General features: G+C 40.6%; 1 protein-coding gene across 1 annotated transcript in view; it reads right to left on the bottom strand.

The window, feature by feature from the left end:
• The window catches only part of REPS2 (RALBP1 associated Eps domain containing 2), a 249,998-nt gene continuing 243,224 nt past the window's right edge, over nucleotides 12,194-18,967 (bottom strand). Inside the window, exon 18 of the mRNA XM_017029956.3 lies at nucleotides 12,194-14,836. Coding sequence (XP_016885445.1) covers nucleotides 14,780-14,836 — 57 coding nt within the window. The 3' untranslated portion in view covers nucleotides 12,194-14,779. The remainder of the gene's footprint in view (nucleotides 14,837-18,967) is intronic.

Raw genomic sequence — 18,967 nt, 5'->3', positions numbered from 1 at the left:
TGTCTGCTTCCAGAGTCCACAACATCTGTGCTGTGAGTGTCCTGAGGGAAGAAATGATAGCCATTTATGACTATATCCCCAGGGAGTTAGCACAAAACTGGTAACTAGTACGTGCTCAAAAAATACTTGTTAAATGAATGACCTAATGTAATGGACATTTTTGCCTTGAATTTAGAGATTTAGAGACGAGTGAACTGAAGCTCAAAAGAATTTGAAAACTTGCCAATACACCACAAATGAGTGAGTTGGGATAGAAACCCCAATCCCCTGATATATAAAGGCTATTTTCTTTTTCTTTTTCTTTTTCTTTTCTTTCCTCCCTCCCTCCCTCCCTTCTTTCTTTTTTTTCTTTCTTTCCTTCCTTCCTTCCCTCCCTTCCTCCCTCTTCCTTTCTTTCTTTCTTTTTCTTTCTTTCTTTCTTCTTTCTTTCTTTTTCTTTCCTTCTTTCTTTCTTTCTTTTTTTTTTAGATAGGGTCTCACTCTGTTGCCCAAGCTGAAGTGTAGTGGCAAGATCACAGATCACTGCTGCCTCAGCCTCAGCCTCAACCTCCTGGGCTCAGGTGATTCTCTCACCTCAGCACCCCAAACCCCAACACCTGAGTAGCTGGACTACAGGCACCTGCCACCATGCCTAGCTAATTATATATATATATATACTTTTTTTTGTAGAGACAGAGTTTCACCTATAAAGGCTATTTCCATCAAGAAATAATATTGACTTTGTAATGACCTGATGGGTTCGTCCTGCCTGCTGCACAGACAAAATCAATTCACTGAGACCACAGCATTTCAGTAAAGAAAGTTTAACTGATGCAAACCTGGCTATGCCATGTGGGAGACACAGTTATTACTCACATCAGTCTCCCCAGAAAATTTGGAGGTTAGGGATTTTCAGATAGTTTGGTGGGCAGGGGGCTAGGCAATGGGTCCTGCTGCTTGGTTGGGGATGCAATCATAGGAGTGTGGAAAACGGTCCTTGTGCACTGAGTCTGCTTCTGGGTGGGGGCCACAGGACTGAGTGAGTCACTGGTCAGGGTGGGGCCATCAGGTCATCAGAAATGCAAAAGCCTGAAAAGACATCTCAAAAGAACAATCTTAGGTTCTACAATAGTGATGTTAATTACAGGAGTAATTGGGGAAATTGCAGATCTTGTGACATCCAGCAGAATTCAGGCCACTCTCATCCTCCTAACTTGGTGGACTTGCATTAGTTTTATAAGGGCGATTTAGTTTTTGGGAAGGGCTATCATCATTTAAACTATAAATTAAATTTCTCCCAAAGTTAGCTTTGCCCACACCCAGGAATGACCAAGGACAGTTTGGAGATTAAAGGCAAGATGGAGTTGATTAGATCAGATCTCTTTCACTGCCATAATTTTCTGTTATAATTTTTGCAAAGGTGGTTTCAACTTTATCCACTTGGAGAGATGACAGTGTGGCAAGAAGACTGACTGGTGAGCAAGCATTTAAAAATGACCAAACTCGAGGGGGCTGCTTGAGTTGTTTTGAGGATAATTGACCAACAGAAGCTAAAATTAATGCATTTGTTCACATGCAACTTAATTGCCAGAGTTTTCACTTCTGCTGGAGCCTCTAAAGAGTAGCAGAATCATTTCCCCATGCTTCCTTGCACTTTCAGCTTACGGGTTAATGGAACTTCTTCAGTGATCTTATATAACCTTTAGCAGTTATCATAGTTTGAGTTCTGTGAAGAATTCAGAGCGAGCACATAGTTTATTTGGGAGGTGTTGAGAACACGTGTAGGAAAGTGGGAAGTTAATTCAGAGAAGGCAAGGCATCGGATAAGGCGTACATTATCAAGCCTTCTGCTCACAATAGGTAATTGAAATTAATCCCATGGGGAAGCTCTGGAAAATGGTGAAAAACACAGGTCTCAAATTTATCCCACATGAAGGGAAAGGGAACTGAGGTGTTATACACTAACAGCAAAGTCATTGAAGGCTACTCCCAGCAGTGTTAATTCCTTGGTGCTTCAAACCTGCCACATATAGGTACAGAGTGGTTTCTGCTGTTCCATAAAAAGCCATCAAGCATAGAGATGTAGATGCTGCCACTTGGAAGTCAGTGGGAGCACTCTGAAATGCTAAGAGCTCACGGGATATGGACAGAGAACCAGCAGAGTCTGCTAAAAAGGAGCTCTTTTTGCTGCTTCCCACTACAGCAGCTCACCAAGAGGGCAATTATATGGAGAAAAAAATTACCTACTTGTCCAACTGGGTTTGTTGGGGGAAGGTTATGCAAGTACTATATATTTTAGGTTAGGCATTGCACAGTCATTTCCAAAAAGAGGTATGCAGGAGACATTGGACCACATCTATTGGTTAGAGTTTTGATAAGTGGCCCATGTCTGTACTTCTTAACCCTGAATTCTTTTAAATGGATTCCTGAATTTGGTTGTGTGAAAAGGAATAAGAGAATCTGTACTTGGGGGAATGAGGGAGTGGTAAGAGGAGAAGGCTCAGAGGAGGCATCCTGTATGCATTATTAGATTTGTTCTTAATCTCAGAAGGAAAGAATACGTATATTTTCTGAAATATCAGTGTGCTTTCCAGAATCAGTGAGGTCATGGAAACTATAATCTTTGCCATGTGCTCTCGCAGCCACAGTTATGCTAATGAAACCAGGAATGGGGGCTGCTCTGGTGAACATGGTGAAATCAGACTTGAGTCTGGGAGCTGGAGGTGGGTGGAAAAGCATGTGGAGGCATCGGCAGTTGTTTTTGTGTTCGAGGCTTAGGTCTGAGGTTGATGCGCCCCTGATCTTTCTTTCATTTTCCTAACACTTGGGCCCACATCCCGGAGTGTGGAGTAGAGGACAGCAAGATATGCCATCAATGTTAATCTGATCTTTCATCAGCAAATACTGGAAGGAAGTCATTTTAAGCCGGTTTTAAAACTAGATTTGGGGCATAGAGAGTCCGGTGTTGTTGCTATTTTTACTCAGTTTCTTAAACAAAGGGGCTCTGATGCTATTGTGGAGTTACAGTAATGTGGACCTCAAGAAGTCACAACAGATACCCATTAGCATTTAGAGCTCTACCTCTAGAGGTTGAGTTAAAATATTGAATATGCTTTCAAACCATCATACTACCTTTATTCCAAAGATGTCTAAAAGAGCCTAAGGAAGGTAGACTTATTTAGTGTGTCCATGCAATCTTCAGTGTCTTTCTGTCTCCTTCCCCTTTCCGCCATCCCTCGTTCTCTATATAGAAAATGTCTTTAAAATATAGAGTGGGTCTGTATATTTGCATAACAGCAGTCCTCTATATAAAAATAAATTCTGAATAGATTGCTCCATTGTATATACATGTGGGTACGCATGTCACATACACTGATTTATTTTTCTAAGAACAAATGTCTTAATGTTTCTCTTCCTTGAGAAAAATCACCAACTGTCAGAATCTCAAATTCCATGTAGAGCTTTGCAATAACAGAGAATATATATGTAAAAAGCCACAGAGAGATGAAATATAGTGGGGAGTTAGATTTTTGTTTCAAATAGCTCTGAATTTCCAAAGATTTCACAAGTCAAGTAGAAGGCTGTTCGTGCAATGGCTTTGTCCTCTACTCTTTAGGACACTCTTTAGAACACTGATCAGTGTAAGTAACCTAACCAAGCCTCATTCTTTCCCTGAAGCAAAGAGGAGCTATGGCCACAGAATTTCTACAGAACTGTGGAAAAAACACAGCTTTGGAAACATATAATTCTGAGTTCAAATCCAACTCCTGCCACTTACTTGGGCACATTTCTAAACCTCTTGGAATCTGTTTCCTCCTCTAGAAAATGGGGCTATTCACACCTTCATCAAAGGGTTATTGTGAAGATGAGATACACTGTATGTGAAAGCACCTGGCCCAAAGTAGGTGTGAAGAACTGCAAAGGGTCTAAGATTCAACGCTACTTGCAAACTAACAAGCTAGCCTGTCACAGTTTTATGGATGCTGGTAGAAGACATGAGACACCGGGGTCAGAAATGAAGGATAGCTTATTACTCACAGAATAATCATAGACAGATTATCAGCAGTTTTTGCATCAGTTTTCCAAGCCCCAATTCCCACAGGATGATCCAAAGAGGGCCAGGTGATACTTGCATATGCAAGTGGGTTCTATTACAGGAGAGAAACCCTGAGCTTAGAAAACCTGAATCTTTTACAATGGACAGTACACATTTTTTCCTTTTGCTCCAGAAGGAGCCATTGCCTTTATTATACTAGATGGTAAGGGTATTGGTCCTTTGCTCTGGAGGGAGGCACTATGTCTTCCAAGGCATCCTTGAAAAGGTAGTCCAGAATCAAGAGCAGTGAATCTGCTTGCAAGATGCACAGATGTATAAGAGACTCATGAGGAATAATCTCCCAACAGTAGATTCTCAATAAATGGTGGTTGGCAAGGGAAGTGGGAAAAGGATGACAAAAAAATGATAACTATTTCCCTGGGTCCTGTATTGATCTCATTTTGCAAGGCCTCAAGGAATATAACTACATAAATCTGCCTTATAAATGAGATTCAGTGTGATGCTGCGAAGAGAAGAAAAGCTTTATAGTCATAAAGACATGGGTTCAGATACTAGCTTAGCCATTCACCAGCTGGGCAACCTTAGTTGTTTCTTAACTTCTGTGATCCCCTGTTTCCATATCTGTAAAAAGGGGTGACCATAATACAAGCTACTAAGTGCTGTATTAGACCCTAACATATATAAATGTGTGTGGCATATAGAAAGAATCCAATAAACGGTAACTATTGCATTCTATAAAAAACAGGCATTTATTGAACATCTACCACCTGTCCTTCATTTTTTCATTTGACAAATGATTATTGCGCATGTACTTTTTACCAGGCACCGTGATAGGCAGTGAGAATACAAAGATAAGCCTAGAATGATCATTCCCTTTGAGGACAGCACAGTCCAGGGGTGGAAACAGCTAAATTATAGTAATAGGAGGCAAGTACCAAAGCAGAGATTGCAACCAAGTGCTCTGAGAACTCAGAGAACATAAAATAAATAAATAAATAAATACTCCAGAGGAGGCTGAGAAGGCTTCGCCCAAAAGGTGAAATTTGAATTTGGTTCCAACCACTCCAACTTTAGCTCCAACACTTGTGTAAAGATCCTGAGATGATTTAATGCTCTCATATCCCCTGAAATCCAGAGCAACCCCTCCCATCTCTCAGCTTTTGTGAAAGAAGAAGGAAAGAGAAGGGAAATGAGAAGCAAAGGAAGGGAAGGAAAGGAAATATAGAGAGAGAAGGACACACCATTTGGAGCTCTTAGCAAGTGTTGAGAGTGTCAGGGACCAATAAATAGTGCACTCTCCCTTCTCTGAGTTCCAAACCAAATGGGAAATAAGACAAAAGAGTCAGCCTATGCAGGCCAAAATATCATATGTATTACTGATAAGGCCAATGTTAGAAATTATTCAGGCATCTAGGTTCCTTCCATTTTGTGGATCTGCCATTCCCTTAGGGTTTTGTTCTTATCTATGCGGTGTAAGGAAGAAAGAAAAGTTCCAGGGCTAGAGGCACTCTCTTTAAGGAGATGACCTGGAAGTTGCACATATCACTTCAGCTCATGTCCCACTGAACCAAACTTAATCACATAAACCTATCCAGCTGCAAGGGGGGCTGGGCAGGCATATTTCTGTTAAAATTCAGGGGATCCTTTTACTAAAAGAAAGAAGTGAGAATGAACATGTAAAACTGTTAGCAGTCCTCACAATAGGTTCCAACAGGAAGTAGAGAAAAGAAAGCAGATTTGGAGGGAAGCTTTGGACATATTGTTAAGAAAGTAATTGACAATTAAAGGTTCAGGGGTAAAGTCAGGGCTGGGACAAAGAGTTGAAAGTCATCCTCACAATAGGGAGGTTGCTCTGAAGCCATGAGGACAACTCAGAGACCCCCTAAAAATGTACAAGGGAAACATCTTTGAGGACATCTGCCTTAAACTGTTGAGAATAGAAAGTAGAGTCAGAAAAGGAACAGAGAAGTAGGAGAATTTACAGGTTTTACATCATAGTGGCCAAGGGAGAGTTTCAAAACGAAAGGCACAGTCAACATTGATTAACACTTCAGAGAGAATAAAGATTATATGAATTAAGAAATGGCTATGAAACTTAAATTTAAGATTACACTGGTAAATTGTAAGAGAACAGGGACAACGGATTTAAAAGGGAAGATGTGCCGTGTTTCAAAGGACTAAGAAAAAGGTTCATAGTGAAGACGTAATGGAAGCAAGTATAGACACATTAAAAAAAATAATTAAATGCTAAGTGGAAAACAAGGGCCAAGACATTACCTTAGGAGGCAGCAAGCTCCCAGGAAGGGGCTTCAGAAGATGGGGAAGATGTGAAAAGGCTTATGAGATGAGGGTAAAGATTCAGTGGTGAGAGTGAGGAAGATACAGGAAGACAAAATTTCCAGGCAGGTTGGAGTAAGGAGTGGTGTATCATGGGAGTGTATTGGAGAGTGGACCCTGGAGAGACCGAGGAACACTCCTCTTTTTTTAAGAAAAGGATGGAAAGGGTAAGAAGGTGGAATAAGACTCTATAAAATGAGGGGCTGGAGAGAAAATAGGTAGAAGTGTATCTAGTGGTTGCTAATCTTCTACTGAGAAAGGGAATAGACCTGTAAGGCAGATAATATTTTCCGAAAACTGCCTTAACAATACAAAATTAAATTAATAAAATTAAAAAGCAGTTCTACATGCTTTTCCAGAAACTTGTTACTTCTCATCAACAAGTAGAGTCTGTTTTCCCTTCTGTTGAAACCAAGTGGGCCTTCATGACTGCTTCAACAACTAGAATTCAGCAGAAGTGATGTGTGACTTTCAAAACTAGATTCGAAAAGCTACTCTATCTTCTACCTGGCGTTCTCTTTCTTGGGATGCTCACCCTTGAAATAGAACCACTATATTGTAAGGAAGCCCAGGCTATGTGGAGACGACATGTATAAGTATTCTAGCCAATCTCCCCAGCTAACATCACATATTAGTGAACAAGTTCTCAGACGATTCTAGCCTCCAGCTGTCAAGTCACCAGTAGCCTCTGTCTCCCAACTGGGGCCCCATTGAGTAACAGAGATAAACCACTTCTGCTGTGCCCTGTCCAAATTCCTGACCTCAGAATCCATGAGCATAATAAGTGGTTGTTTTATGTCACTGAGTTTGGGAGTAATTTCTTTTTTCTTTCTTTCTTTTTTTTTATTTTGTTGTTGTTATTGTTTCAGGGAGCAGAGTCTTGAGCTGTCACCCAGGCAGTAATGCAGTGGTGCAATCTTGGCTCACTGCAACCTGCAACCTCTGCCTCCCAGGCTCAAGCTATCCTTCCACCTCAGCCTCCCAAGTAGCCGGGACTACAGGCATGTGCCACCATGCCTGGCTAACTTTTGTGTTTTTTGTAGAGATGGGGTTTTGCCATGTTGCCCAGGCTGGTCTTGAACTCCTCGACTAAAGTGATCCACCCGCCTTGGCCTCCCAAAGTGCTGGGATTACAGGCATGAGCCACTGTGCCCAGTGAGAGTAACTTCTTATACAGCAAAAGATGACCACAACAACCAGGCTGGGAGGTGGGAAGGCTTTCTTAAATAGAGCTGTGGGGAATTGACAATGTGTCTTTTAGAGAGAAATGAAAAGCTTTCAGTGGAATGGAACCTACCTGTGGAATGTATAGCACAGATTTATAGGGGAAATGGACCCAGGGTATCAACATTCTTGAGCTAAGTCAAGAACCTGGAAATGTGGACAGTCCTATCGGGCCCATGGAGGGAAGGAAGACCCTGCCTCCTTAACATCTTGAATTCATTATCCCAGCAGCATCTCTGACCATCATCCCAAACTAGTTCCCACACATTCTCCTACTGTCAATCTGAATTCTTCCTTCTTATTTCCTGTCTTAGAAAGGTTGGCAGCACTAACTAGCCACCCAAGCTGGAAATTAAGGAGTATCCCTCTGAAATGGAACCCCTTTTCTTCACTCCCATGTGCTATTGCTTTAGTTAAGGCCTTAAGCATCTTCTGCTTGCACTATGGTGCATGAGATGTTTTACAAAAATGGCCACAATTATTCCCCTTTCTGTATCCAGTTTCTGCAATGTGACTTCGCAGTTTCTCCCATTAAGAGAAGAACTCTATTTGCTTTCCCTTGAATCTGAGCTGGTTTTGTGATACATGTTGGCCAAAAGAATAAAGCAGAAGTGATGTTGTGCCAATTCTGGACCTAGACCTAAAGAGATCTTGTGCATTTCTACTCACTCTCTTGGAACTCAGCCTTGTGAACAAGGCCAGGCTAGTCTGCTGGAGGATGAAAGACCAAATGGAGCAGAAAAAAGCCATCATATCTGACATCATCATAGGCCAGACAGCTCCCAAGCAATACAGCCACTGATTGCAGATGCATGAATGAGCCCAGCTGAGACCAGAAGAATCACACAACTGAGCCAACCCAGATTGCCAACATGCAGAATTGTGAGCTAAACAAATAGTTTTTGCTTTAAGCACTAAGTTTTGAGGTAGTTTGTCATGCAGCAAAAGCTAACTGATACAGAAGACAATGGCTTCCTAAATAATCTTCCTGCTTCCAAGACCACCAACCTCCCCTGACAACCACCACCAATACAGCATCCATTCTGCCAGACTCATCAAAAACTCACCTGAATTTTTTACTTCCCTTCTTAAAATCTACCAGTAACTTCCCATCAACCACAGTATAAACTCAACCTTCAAAGACTTAGAAATAATTTAGAGCTTTTTTAAAATTTAGCCCCGGACTCATTTCCCAGAATTCCTCACCTCCTAGCCCTCCTCATCTGTCAACTTACCATCTAGCCATGTTCTACTATTCTATGTTCTATGAAAACACCCCATGCTTGACATTTGTCCAAGCTTTTTCTCTTACTGTTCTCTCTACTAAGAATAGCCCTTCTGCCCTCTTCTCCATCTTCTCCACTTTCATGCCCCCTAGAGCCTAGTATACAGTTCCTGGCATATAATAAGTGCTTCGTATATGTTGAGATGAATGACCAAATTACATTTCATGATGGTGCTCTGATCCAATTGTAGCACTAGGGAAGTGCTTACTATGTGGCCAAGTACTGTGCAAATGCCACAGCAACCCTATTGGGCATATATTACCACTATCACCACCATCATCATTGTCCTCATTTTGCAGATGAAGAAACTTAGGTTTGGAGAAATCAGGTGACTTACCAAAAGTTACTCTGCTAAAATAAATGATGGCAGCCCAGTAATGAAAAGCCTGGGGAATCTGATACTACCTTCTACTGTGAGCAGTATCAGCCCCAGCTATTCCAATCTATGTACCTGGCCCTGTTTTCTTAACTTGCCCTTCCTGACTTTTTCAATTTTGAACTTCTAATTAAATGTTTCAAACTGCTTGTCACTAGTTTGCCCTACTCATCTTCTTTCTTTTAATGCGTGTCTTCCAAAGGGAGACTGAAAACAAATCTAAATGTATATTAAGGACCAGAATTTTAGGCACTGAGCTAGAGAAGAATCTCCCTTGGAATCTAAAATCTTTATCAGAATAGATTCTTCTCCTAAAATCAGCAAATTGTGGGCTGTGGGCCAAATGTGGCCCATGGTCTGTTTTTGTACAGCCCTCAAGCTAAGAATAATTTTTACATTTCTTAAAGATTGTAAAAAACACACACACAAAGAATATGCAACAGAGAGTCATATGTGGCCCACAAAACCTAAAATATTTGCTATCTGGCTCATTACAAAAAAAGTTTGCTGACCTCTATCTTGGGCCATTCTTCCACTCATATTCTTCCCTGATAGTCTGGGTTCCCCCAGAAGCAGACTCTGGGGAAAGGATTCGAGTGCAAATTATTTATTGAGGTAGTGATCCTGGAAAACACCAAGAATGAAGTGGAAAAATTGAGACAGAGAAGGGATGGGAAGTGTGCATTGTCAAATGAGTTATCCCTGTGGGCAATTAGAGTTTAAACCCACTGGGGACTGTGGAAGACAGTGCAGATCACATACCTCAGAGCCAAGGGATGTGTGAGCCAGGGCACTTATCCATCAACTCCCATCAGTCATTGGCTACAGGCGATTCCCTGGGAAGTGTTAATTCCCCAGCACTACCGGCCTTCCCAGGGCAAACTTGTTCCAATTGCCAGATAAACCTCTTAGGCAAGGGGTTGCAGGTGCTGGCAGTTGGATGTCAGGCAAACACACACAGAAATGGTAAATGCCAAGGGGATATAGGTGGGGCAGTGAGAGCACTCGCCACATCCCTTTCCCCCATTCTACTTTGAATAAACTATACTTTTTAAAAAAATGTATACTAGTGTCAAAATTTAAAACTCACCAACTGGGGCATAAAGAAATATAACTTTATTTCTTGCTCTTGAGCTCCCGTCCGTATTGATGGTGCTAACTATAGACATCTCAGTTTCTTAGCTTTAATTGCTTCTTTCAAGTGTACTGTTTTTCTGACTTTTCCCTATCTATCAAAAATTCTTCCCCCTCTTTTTCCCAATATGGTTACTAGGTCCATTTAAAAAAAATATTTTTGAGACAGGGTCTCGCTCTGTCACCCAGGTTGGAGTACAGTGGTGTGATCATGGCTCACTGCAGCCTCAACCTCCCAGGGTCAAGCGACTTCCTGCCTCAGCCTCCCGGGTAGCTGGGACTATGGGCACATGCCACCATGCCTGATTAATTTTTTTGTATTTTTAGTAGAGATGGGGTTTTGCCATGTTGCCCGGTGTCAGATCCAGGGGTCCAGGTCCAGCCCATGCTGAAGTCCAAGGGAGTGAGCGGATGGGCAGAAATAACACTTGGGGGGCTGTAGGCAGGTGAAATGTAGTTTCATTCAGCAGCAGCTCTCATCAATAGCTTACTTACACTAGCTCTCTCACACTGTCCACCTTTATCTCAGCTGTCTGCTCTGGTTATGCGGCTTCTGCTGCCCCCATGCCTGCAGCTGCATGGCCGGCTCTCCCTTGCCTTCAGGGTTAGGAGCTTAACTCTTTCTGTCTCTGAGCATGAGCAAACCGAGCTGTGTCCTGGCTCCCTCCTGTCCATCTGCAAGATGGACAGCTTTGGCTCTCTCTCTCTCTTTCTCTGGGCACCAGCATGCCTACCATGTCAAGCCATGTTGAGCTAAGCCGAGCCCCAAGAACCCCTATACAGCATTAGCAGGGCAATTATATCTTTTACAGACAATAGTGGCTCAGAGCCAAGCATGAACTTACACAAACAAGTTATATAGCAAGTGGAGGTGTGTGCCTGTGCGCCATACTCACTGAGTCATGCAGGACTGGATATCCACCTCAGCCTATTCCTTGACCAAAGCACATCCATGTACCTTACACCCAGGCTGGTCTCAAACTCCGGGGCTCAAGCGATCTGCCTGTCTCGGCCTCCCACAGTGCTAGGATTACAGACATGAGCCACCGTGCCCAGCCAACAAGGTGCATTTTTATGATTTGAGGAAAGATGGCCTGGTCCTCCTGCTGTCCTCTGGGAGTAGCCTGGACCACCTACTCATTTGGCATCCTGCCCTGGTCTCCACTGAGTTATGGCTAGTTTCTGGACATTGTGCTGGCATCTTCTGCTATTGATCATAGACCTTGCCATTGCCTCCATTGTGAGGTCCCCAAACTCTACAGCTTCCTTGTCCTCAGACTTTCTTGGACACATCTCTCCTCTCAATGTTTCTGTGCCCCAGTTAGGGGTCCTGGAACTCTCTACTGCCTCTGAAGTATGCGAGACTGTGAGGCTATGGAGGTACCTCTCTCCACTGCTGTTACTTGGCTTCTTCCCCATCAAGAAGGAGGCACAATGTTGTTGCAAGTTTCTCTGAAATGCTTGTATTAATCCAGGATATGCCTGGTGAGGTGGTCACCTACCCCAGTGCTCTCAGATTCTCCCAAGCCTAGCTGGGTGTTCCTACCACCCCTTACTTCTGCCCCCAAAGAGGGCTATTTGGATGATGGAAAGAATGGGAATATAGGGGGACACTTGCATCTTCTTCCTTTCTCTGTGCCCAGTGTCACCTCCAAGAACTGGAAGGCTGTTCCCTCTCCAGCGTGCAGGAGTGTCCCTGACTTTCACTGTGTCCCTGTTTTTCCTACTCTATGGCTTTTCTACGGCCAGCTCTTGTCTTAGTCCATTTTGGGCTGCTATAAGAAAATACCACAGACCAAGTCACTTATAAACAATGAACATTTATTTCTCACATTTCTGGAGGCTGAAAAAGTCCAAGACCAAAATACCAGCAGATTTTGTGTCTTATGAGGGTCCACTTCCTGGTTGAAAGATGGCATTTTCTTGATGTGTCCTCACATGATGGAAGGAGCAAGGCAGCTCTCTGGGGCCTCTTTTATAAGAGCACTAATCCCATTCATGAGAGCTCTCCCCTCATGAACAAATCATCTCCCAAAGGCCCCGCCTCTTAATACCATCATATTAGGGATTAGGTTTCAACATAATGAATTTTGGGGAGACACAAACATTCAGACCATAGTAACCATCTAAGCTTTGGTTTCTATTATACAGGGGCCCAACTTTGGGAGTCCTAGGAAAACTCCTTTATTTCTTTTTTTAGTCTGGCTTTCAAGACTATTGCCCCAGTAAGGGTTTTTAAAAAATCTAGTTGAAATTTAAAACTGCGCAATGACTATTTTGTCCTACGCTGTATCTACCTCCTCCTCCCAAGGCAGTAGGCCTTCATCTTATTGCATAATCTTAATGGCAGAAGAACAGCAGGTGCTTCTTTTCTTCTTCTTCTCCTTCTCCTCCTCCTCTTCCTCTTCCTCCTCCTTTAGTAACTACCCACCAAAGAGGGAAAACACATTTGGATAATATTTTAAAACATTATCCTCGCATCTAAAATAATAAAATCATGGGAAGTAGTGGAGTGTTGGCATCTATTATTTCATTATTTCTACTTCAAGAAAATGAAAATTGGTTTGCCAATAATTAAAATATTGAGTTATTTTTATTGCATTTCGCATAAACCTTAATTCAAGTTAATTATTGTTATCAAGAGAGGAATTTTGAAGCCAGAGGGCAAAATCTTTAAATATTACCTCAAACATACCAGGTAAAACACTTTAAAGTGTCTTCCCAGGACAGAATAAGAATACTCCTTATTTAGAAGACAAAATTCTCATCATCAATTATCAGCTGATAGATCTAGAACACCCACCAGAAGTCACATTTGTGTTAATGACAATTTCATTTCCCAATGTGTACATACCCTTACAATTTTAGGCTCAATTTTTAAAACTTGGAACATATATTTGGGAAAGGATGGGTTTTGTACGTGAATAAGGTTACAGTGGGCAGGGGGTTCTGTTGAGCTACTTGAACAGGGCCAAAATGATTTTTATCCCCAACTGCCAAGGTGCTCAACATTTTACCATTAGACTGTTATTCCTGTAACTTAGGAATTACCCTAATCAGCAATCGTGCTTTAAAATCCTTTCATTATCTTCACCGAATATATAATGCACACTGTCTACAAGTCATTATTCTAGGGCTTAATGATGAGTTGGGCATGAAAGGTGGGCAGAGACGAGGGAGAAGCAACAAATAAATAAATGAATTAAGTCAACAACAGCTTTGTGTGGCTTCTTTTGCCAGAAGTTCTTTCTTCCTTTTGGAATTAGGCTTAATGAAAACTTTGGTTATCTGAAGAGAGAGCATGAAGAAGGAGGATAAATAGAAGCTACTAGAAACTATCAAATTTCCTTAATGTAGCTTGCAATTTCTCCCTCCCTCACAACCACATTTTAACAGTTCTCAAGTCAGGATTTGTCCTGCAATCTAAAAATAGATTTAATAAGGCAGTGTATTTTTTGTCTTAAATTATTAAATTGAGCTTGTTATTAAATAGTGCTTCTTATAATCCATGCCATGTTACACTTAAAGAGATCAGTAATATTTTAATTGAAAATTTTGTTGAGGTAATTGTCAATTTAGATGAAGTCATAAGATATAATAGAGGGAGAGTCCACATGCCCTTTAACCAGTTTCCCCTAACGGTAACATTTTGCAAGAGTAGTTCAATATTACATTCAGAATATTAAGAATTTGTAGAACTTACTTGGATTCCCCCAGTTTTGCTTGTACTCGTGTGTGTGTTTAGTTCTATCAATTTGAGCACGTGTGTAGGTTTGTGTATCTACCACCACACTCAAGATATTAAACAGTTTCATCACCACAGAGTCCTTTCATAATCCTTTTTTAATCTTACCCACCTTCCTCCCAGCCATCTTCCCATCCTTAAACACTGGCAACCATTAATCTGTTTTCCATTTCTAAAATTTTGTCATTACCAAAATATTATATAAATGGAATCATACAATATGTCACTTTTTAAGATTGGGTTTTTGCACTTGGCATAATTCTCTGCAAGTTCATTTAAGTTGTTTGTACTGTATGCATCATTGTCCCTTTTTTATTGTTGAGTAGTTTTTCATGGGATGTACATACCATGGTTTGTTTAATCATTCACCTGTAGAAGGACATCTGAGCTGTTTTGGGCTATTAGATCAGTAATATATATTGAGAACCTATTAGATATGTTACCTACTTTCATATTTGTTGTTCCAACTAATCTTTACCCCCGAAAAAATCCTTGTAAGATGAACTTTAGGGTCTGTACTTACAAAAGAAGAAATTGAGGCTCCATAACACCAATTAACATGCTACGGTCACACAATTGGCAAGTAGCAGGTTAGAATTCATACTTAGGTATTCAATTCTCAAGCTGATGAGTGCTGTTTGTCAGTTTATTTGATGACTTCTTCCTTGGGTTATCACAGGCATCGGGGCTGGGGCCAGCTAAAATGAACGCAGAGAGCACTTAGGACTGTCGATGCATCCCCAGTTTTCTCCATTATTTTCCTACCATAAATCAGAATAGATCTGAGGAAATGTACAGTAAAATGACTGATAGCTCACCTGCTTGATGGACCTGTGTTTTAGAGGTTCCTGTACTTAGAGGGTCATTGACGAACCAAATAAATAGGTGACAGTGAGTTTTGGTTTCCCCCATCTTGATAAATAATTGTTTCTTGGGCTGTTTTCTCACTGTCTTTTCTAATTGGCAAGTGTATCAGGGGAGTGGTGGTTAAACTGACACATTGTCATTCTGAAAACAAATGACTGGAAATGCCACACCAGTTCATATAGTACCAGAAAAAGCTTCCAAGCAGCCCATCTGCTTAGGAGAGGGACACATTCTGCCTGTCATAACCCAAGCACAGCCTCCTGGAGAAATGAGTATGCCTGTTAATAATGAGCCAGCCCTCTGAGCGAACAGCCTTCAGGAAAATAGGCACATGGATGCTACCCACTTTTGGACTGCAATGCTGGGACAATTCACAAGCCCTCCCTCCTAACAAAAGTGCTTCTCCCACCATCCCATCACCTGCCATTGCCACTCCCATTCCACATCCCTCAAACCAATCAGAAATTCTCCTCCTTGGGACAACAGCAAGGGTACACATGCATATTTCAAGGGGAAAATTAAAACCATGATAAGATACAACCACAAAGCCACCACAATGGCTAAAACTAAGAACATTGACAATACCAAGTGCTGACAAGGTGTAAAGCAACAAGAATTCTCATATATTGCTGCTGGGAACACAAAATGATACAATTGCTTTAGAAGACTGTTTGGTAATGTCTACTAAAAGCTAAACATATGCATCTCCTGTAATACCTCTCTTATCTATAAACTCAAGAGAAATGCATGCATATGCCCACCAAGGGACATGCACAAAATGTTCATAGCAGCTTTGTTCATAATAGCCAAAAACTCAAACGTTCACAGTGGGTAAAGAATTATTGAATATTCATGCAATAGAATACTACACAGATAAAATTCTGATACGTACAACATGGATGAATCTGACAGGTGTTATGTTAAGCAGAAGAAGCCATGCTCACAAAGAGTACACACTGTGTAATACCACTTACATGAAGTTTGAGAACAGGCAAAATTATTCTATGGTGATAGAAGGCAGAAGAGTGGTTACCTCTGGAAAGGAGTGGGAGATAATTACTGAGTGAAAAGAGGCATGAAGAACCATCTGGGGTGCCGAAAGTGGTTCTATACCTTCATGTGGGTAGTGGTTATTTGGGTATATACAAAACTATATCAAGTAAACCACTTAGGGTTTGTACACTTTATGCCTTTTACTGTGTAAACTAAATGTTAGACCAAAAATTTTAAAGTTTCAAAAAAATATGAGGGAGAATTGCTCCCCCATTCACCTCATGGGACACTGGACCAGGCCACCCTTTTTTCCTGTCCTCCTTCTCATCTGTGGATCTGTGGACACCAGGACATGTAGCAGGGCCAGTTGACTACTCCACCCAACAGATTATTGGGAGGAGGCAAATTGATACAATAGTAGGCATACTTAGTGGGAAACCAAATGAGAGATTGGCACTGCAGTCTGAGGCAGGATAAGCACTTCATGCTAACATGCCTCCAGAGACTTTTCCTGTCTCCTGTTAACAAAATGGTGACTCATGCAGAGACGGAGATGAAATAATTACTTGAGCATGGATGATTTCCACTCTCTTGGAAACTTGAGTTAAAGAGACAGAAAACACACATGCACGCTCATGCGTGCACGCACACACACACGCACACACATCGGCGGTCGGGGGCAGAATCTATCTCTGACAGGCACTGATTCCAGAGTGATTTAAATACTCAAAATGAGAGAGAGAGATATTTCAAAAAAATTAGCAGGTGTACCAAGCTCACATAATACATGCACTTGTTGTTTCTATTTATCTATTTTCTAATTTGCATGCAGTAAAGTTCACTCTTTGTAGCATACAGTCCTATCAGCTTGAGCAAATGATACAGTTCTGTAAGCACCACCATAATCAAGACGCAGTTCTATCACACCAAAAAATTCCCTTGAGGTGCCCCCTTTGTAATCAACTCCTTGCCCCACACTTAAACCCTGCAACCACTGATGCGTTCTTCAGTGCTGATCTGTTGTTTTACCTTTTTCCACAGTGTCACGTAAATGGAATCACACAGTATGTTGCCTTTGGGGCCTGACTTCTTTCAGTTAGTAGAAGGCCTTTAAGAATAATCCATGTTGTTGCAAGTATCAATATTTCATTTTGTTTTATTGCTGAGTATTCCCTGCCATATATGTTATTCCTTGTTTTGGGCAATTATGAATAAGGTTGCTGTAAAATTCATGTACAGGTTTTTATATGAATATGTTTTCATTTAACAGGCAAATACTTATAAGTGGGATTGCTGGTAAATGTAGGTTTAACTCTATAAGACACTAACAGTTTTCCAAAGTGTTTTTAACATTTTACACTCCCACTAGCAACGTATGAGAGCTCCAATTGTTGTACATCTTAGTCAACATTTGATATTGTTGCTTTTAAAAAATTGTAGTTATTATAAGTGTGAAGTGGTATTTCATTGTGGTCTTAACTTTTATTTCCCCAATGACTAATGATGGTGAGCTTCTTTTAATATACCTGTTTATCATTCATATATCTTCTTTGATGATATGTTTGTTCAAATCATTTGCCCATTTTTCTTATTGCTGAATTTGGAGAGTTCTTTGTATATTTGGGATATCAGTTCTTGTCAGAATTGTGATTTGTAAGTATTTTCTTTCAATCTGCTTGTCTTTACATTCTCTTAACAATGTCTTTTGAAGAGCAGACATTTTTAATTTTGATAAAATCTAATTTATTATCAATTTTTTATTTTATGGATCATGTTTTTTGTGTCGTGTCTAAGGACTCCTTGGGTCACAAAGACTTCCTCCTCTGTTTTCCTAAAAGCTTTGTAGCTTACTGGTTTTTATATTTATGTCTATGATCCATTTGAGATTAATTTTTGTATAAGTTGTGAAGTTGGGTCAAGGTTCATCTTTTCGCATATGGATGTCCAATTGTTCCAGCACCATTTATTTAAAATATTATTCTTTCTCCACTGCAAAGCCTTTGCAACTTTAATGAAAATCAATGGACTGTATTTGAGTAGGTTAACTTCTGGACTTTCTGTTCTTTCTCATTGATCTATGTTTCTGTCTTTCACCAATACCACACTATGTTGATTAATGTGGCTTTATAGTAAGTATTGAAATTAAATAGTGTTACTTCTCTGCTCTTTTTCAAAGTTATTTTGGCTATTTTAGTCCATTTCCTTTTCCATGTAAATTTTAGAATCAGTTTATACATATCTACCCCCCAAAAAAATCCTGCTGGAATTTTGATTAGGATTGCATTGAATTTATAAATCAATTTGTGGAGAACTGACATCTAAACAATATTGAATTTTCTGAGGGATGAACATGGTATGTGTTCCCATTTGTTTAGACCTTCCTTGGTTTATTTCTTCAGTGTGTTGTAGCCTTTAGCATAAAGATCCTACACATACGTTGTTAGACTAACACTTAAATGTTTCACTTTTTGGAGGTGCTACTGTAAAATTGTGAATTCCAATTGTTTATTGCTAGTATATAGAAATACGGTAAATTTTTGTGTATTTGTCTTGTGTCCTGTAACTTGCTAAACTGACTTATTATTTCTAGGAGTTTTCTTGTAGATTCTTTAGGATTTTCCACATAATAACGTCTTCTGTAAGTAGAATGAACTCTATTTCTTCCTTTCCAATATGGATACCTTTTATATATTCGTGTTAAGGTCCACCTCCATCCCTGGTTAAAATTTTTCCCTTCCAAAAGCCAAACTGTGCAGTTCTTAAGAAGTTGTCCATCTCCCATACGGCATACTGACAACTAAAACTGGGGACCAACTAGACTACATCAGTCAGTGTAGGTTAGGTTTTGCTGTGGTAACAAATAGCCCCAATATTTGAACAACAAATATCTCTTACAACAAGAAAACATTTATATCTTGCACACAATACCTGTCCGCCATAGCTTGACAGGACTCTTCCTTTCATGTTCT

This window comes from Homo sapiens, chromosome X (genome assembly GCF_000001405.40).
Source record: "Homo sapiens chromosome X, GRCh38.p14 Primary Assembly".
NCBI classification, from domain to species: Eukaryota; Metazoa; Chordata; class Mammalia; order Primates; family Hominidae; genus Homo; species Homo sapiens.
This window is presented reverse-complemented; position numbering and strand designations above follow the sequence as displayed.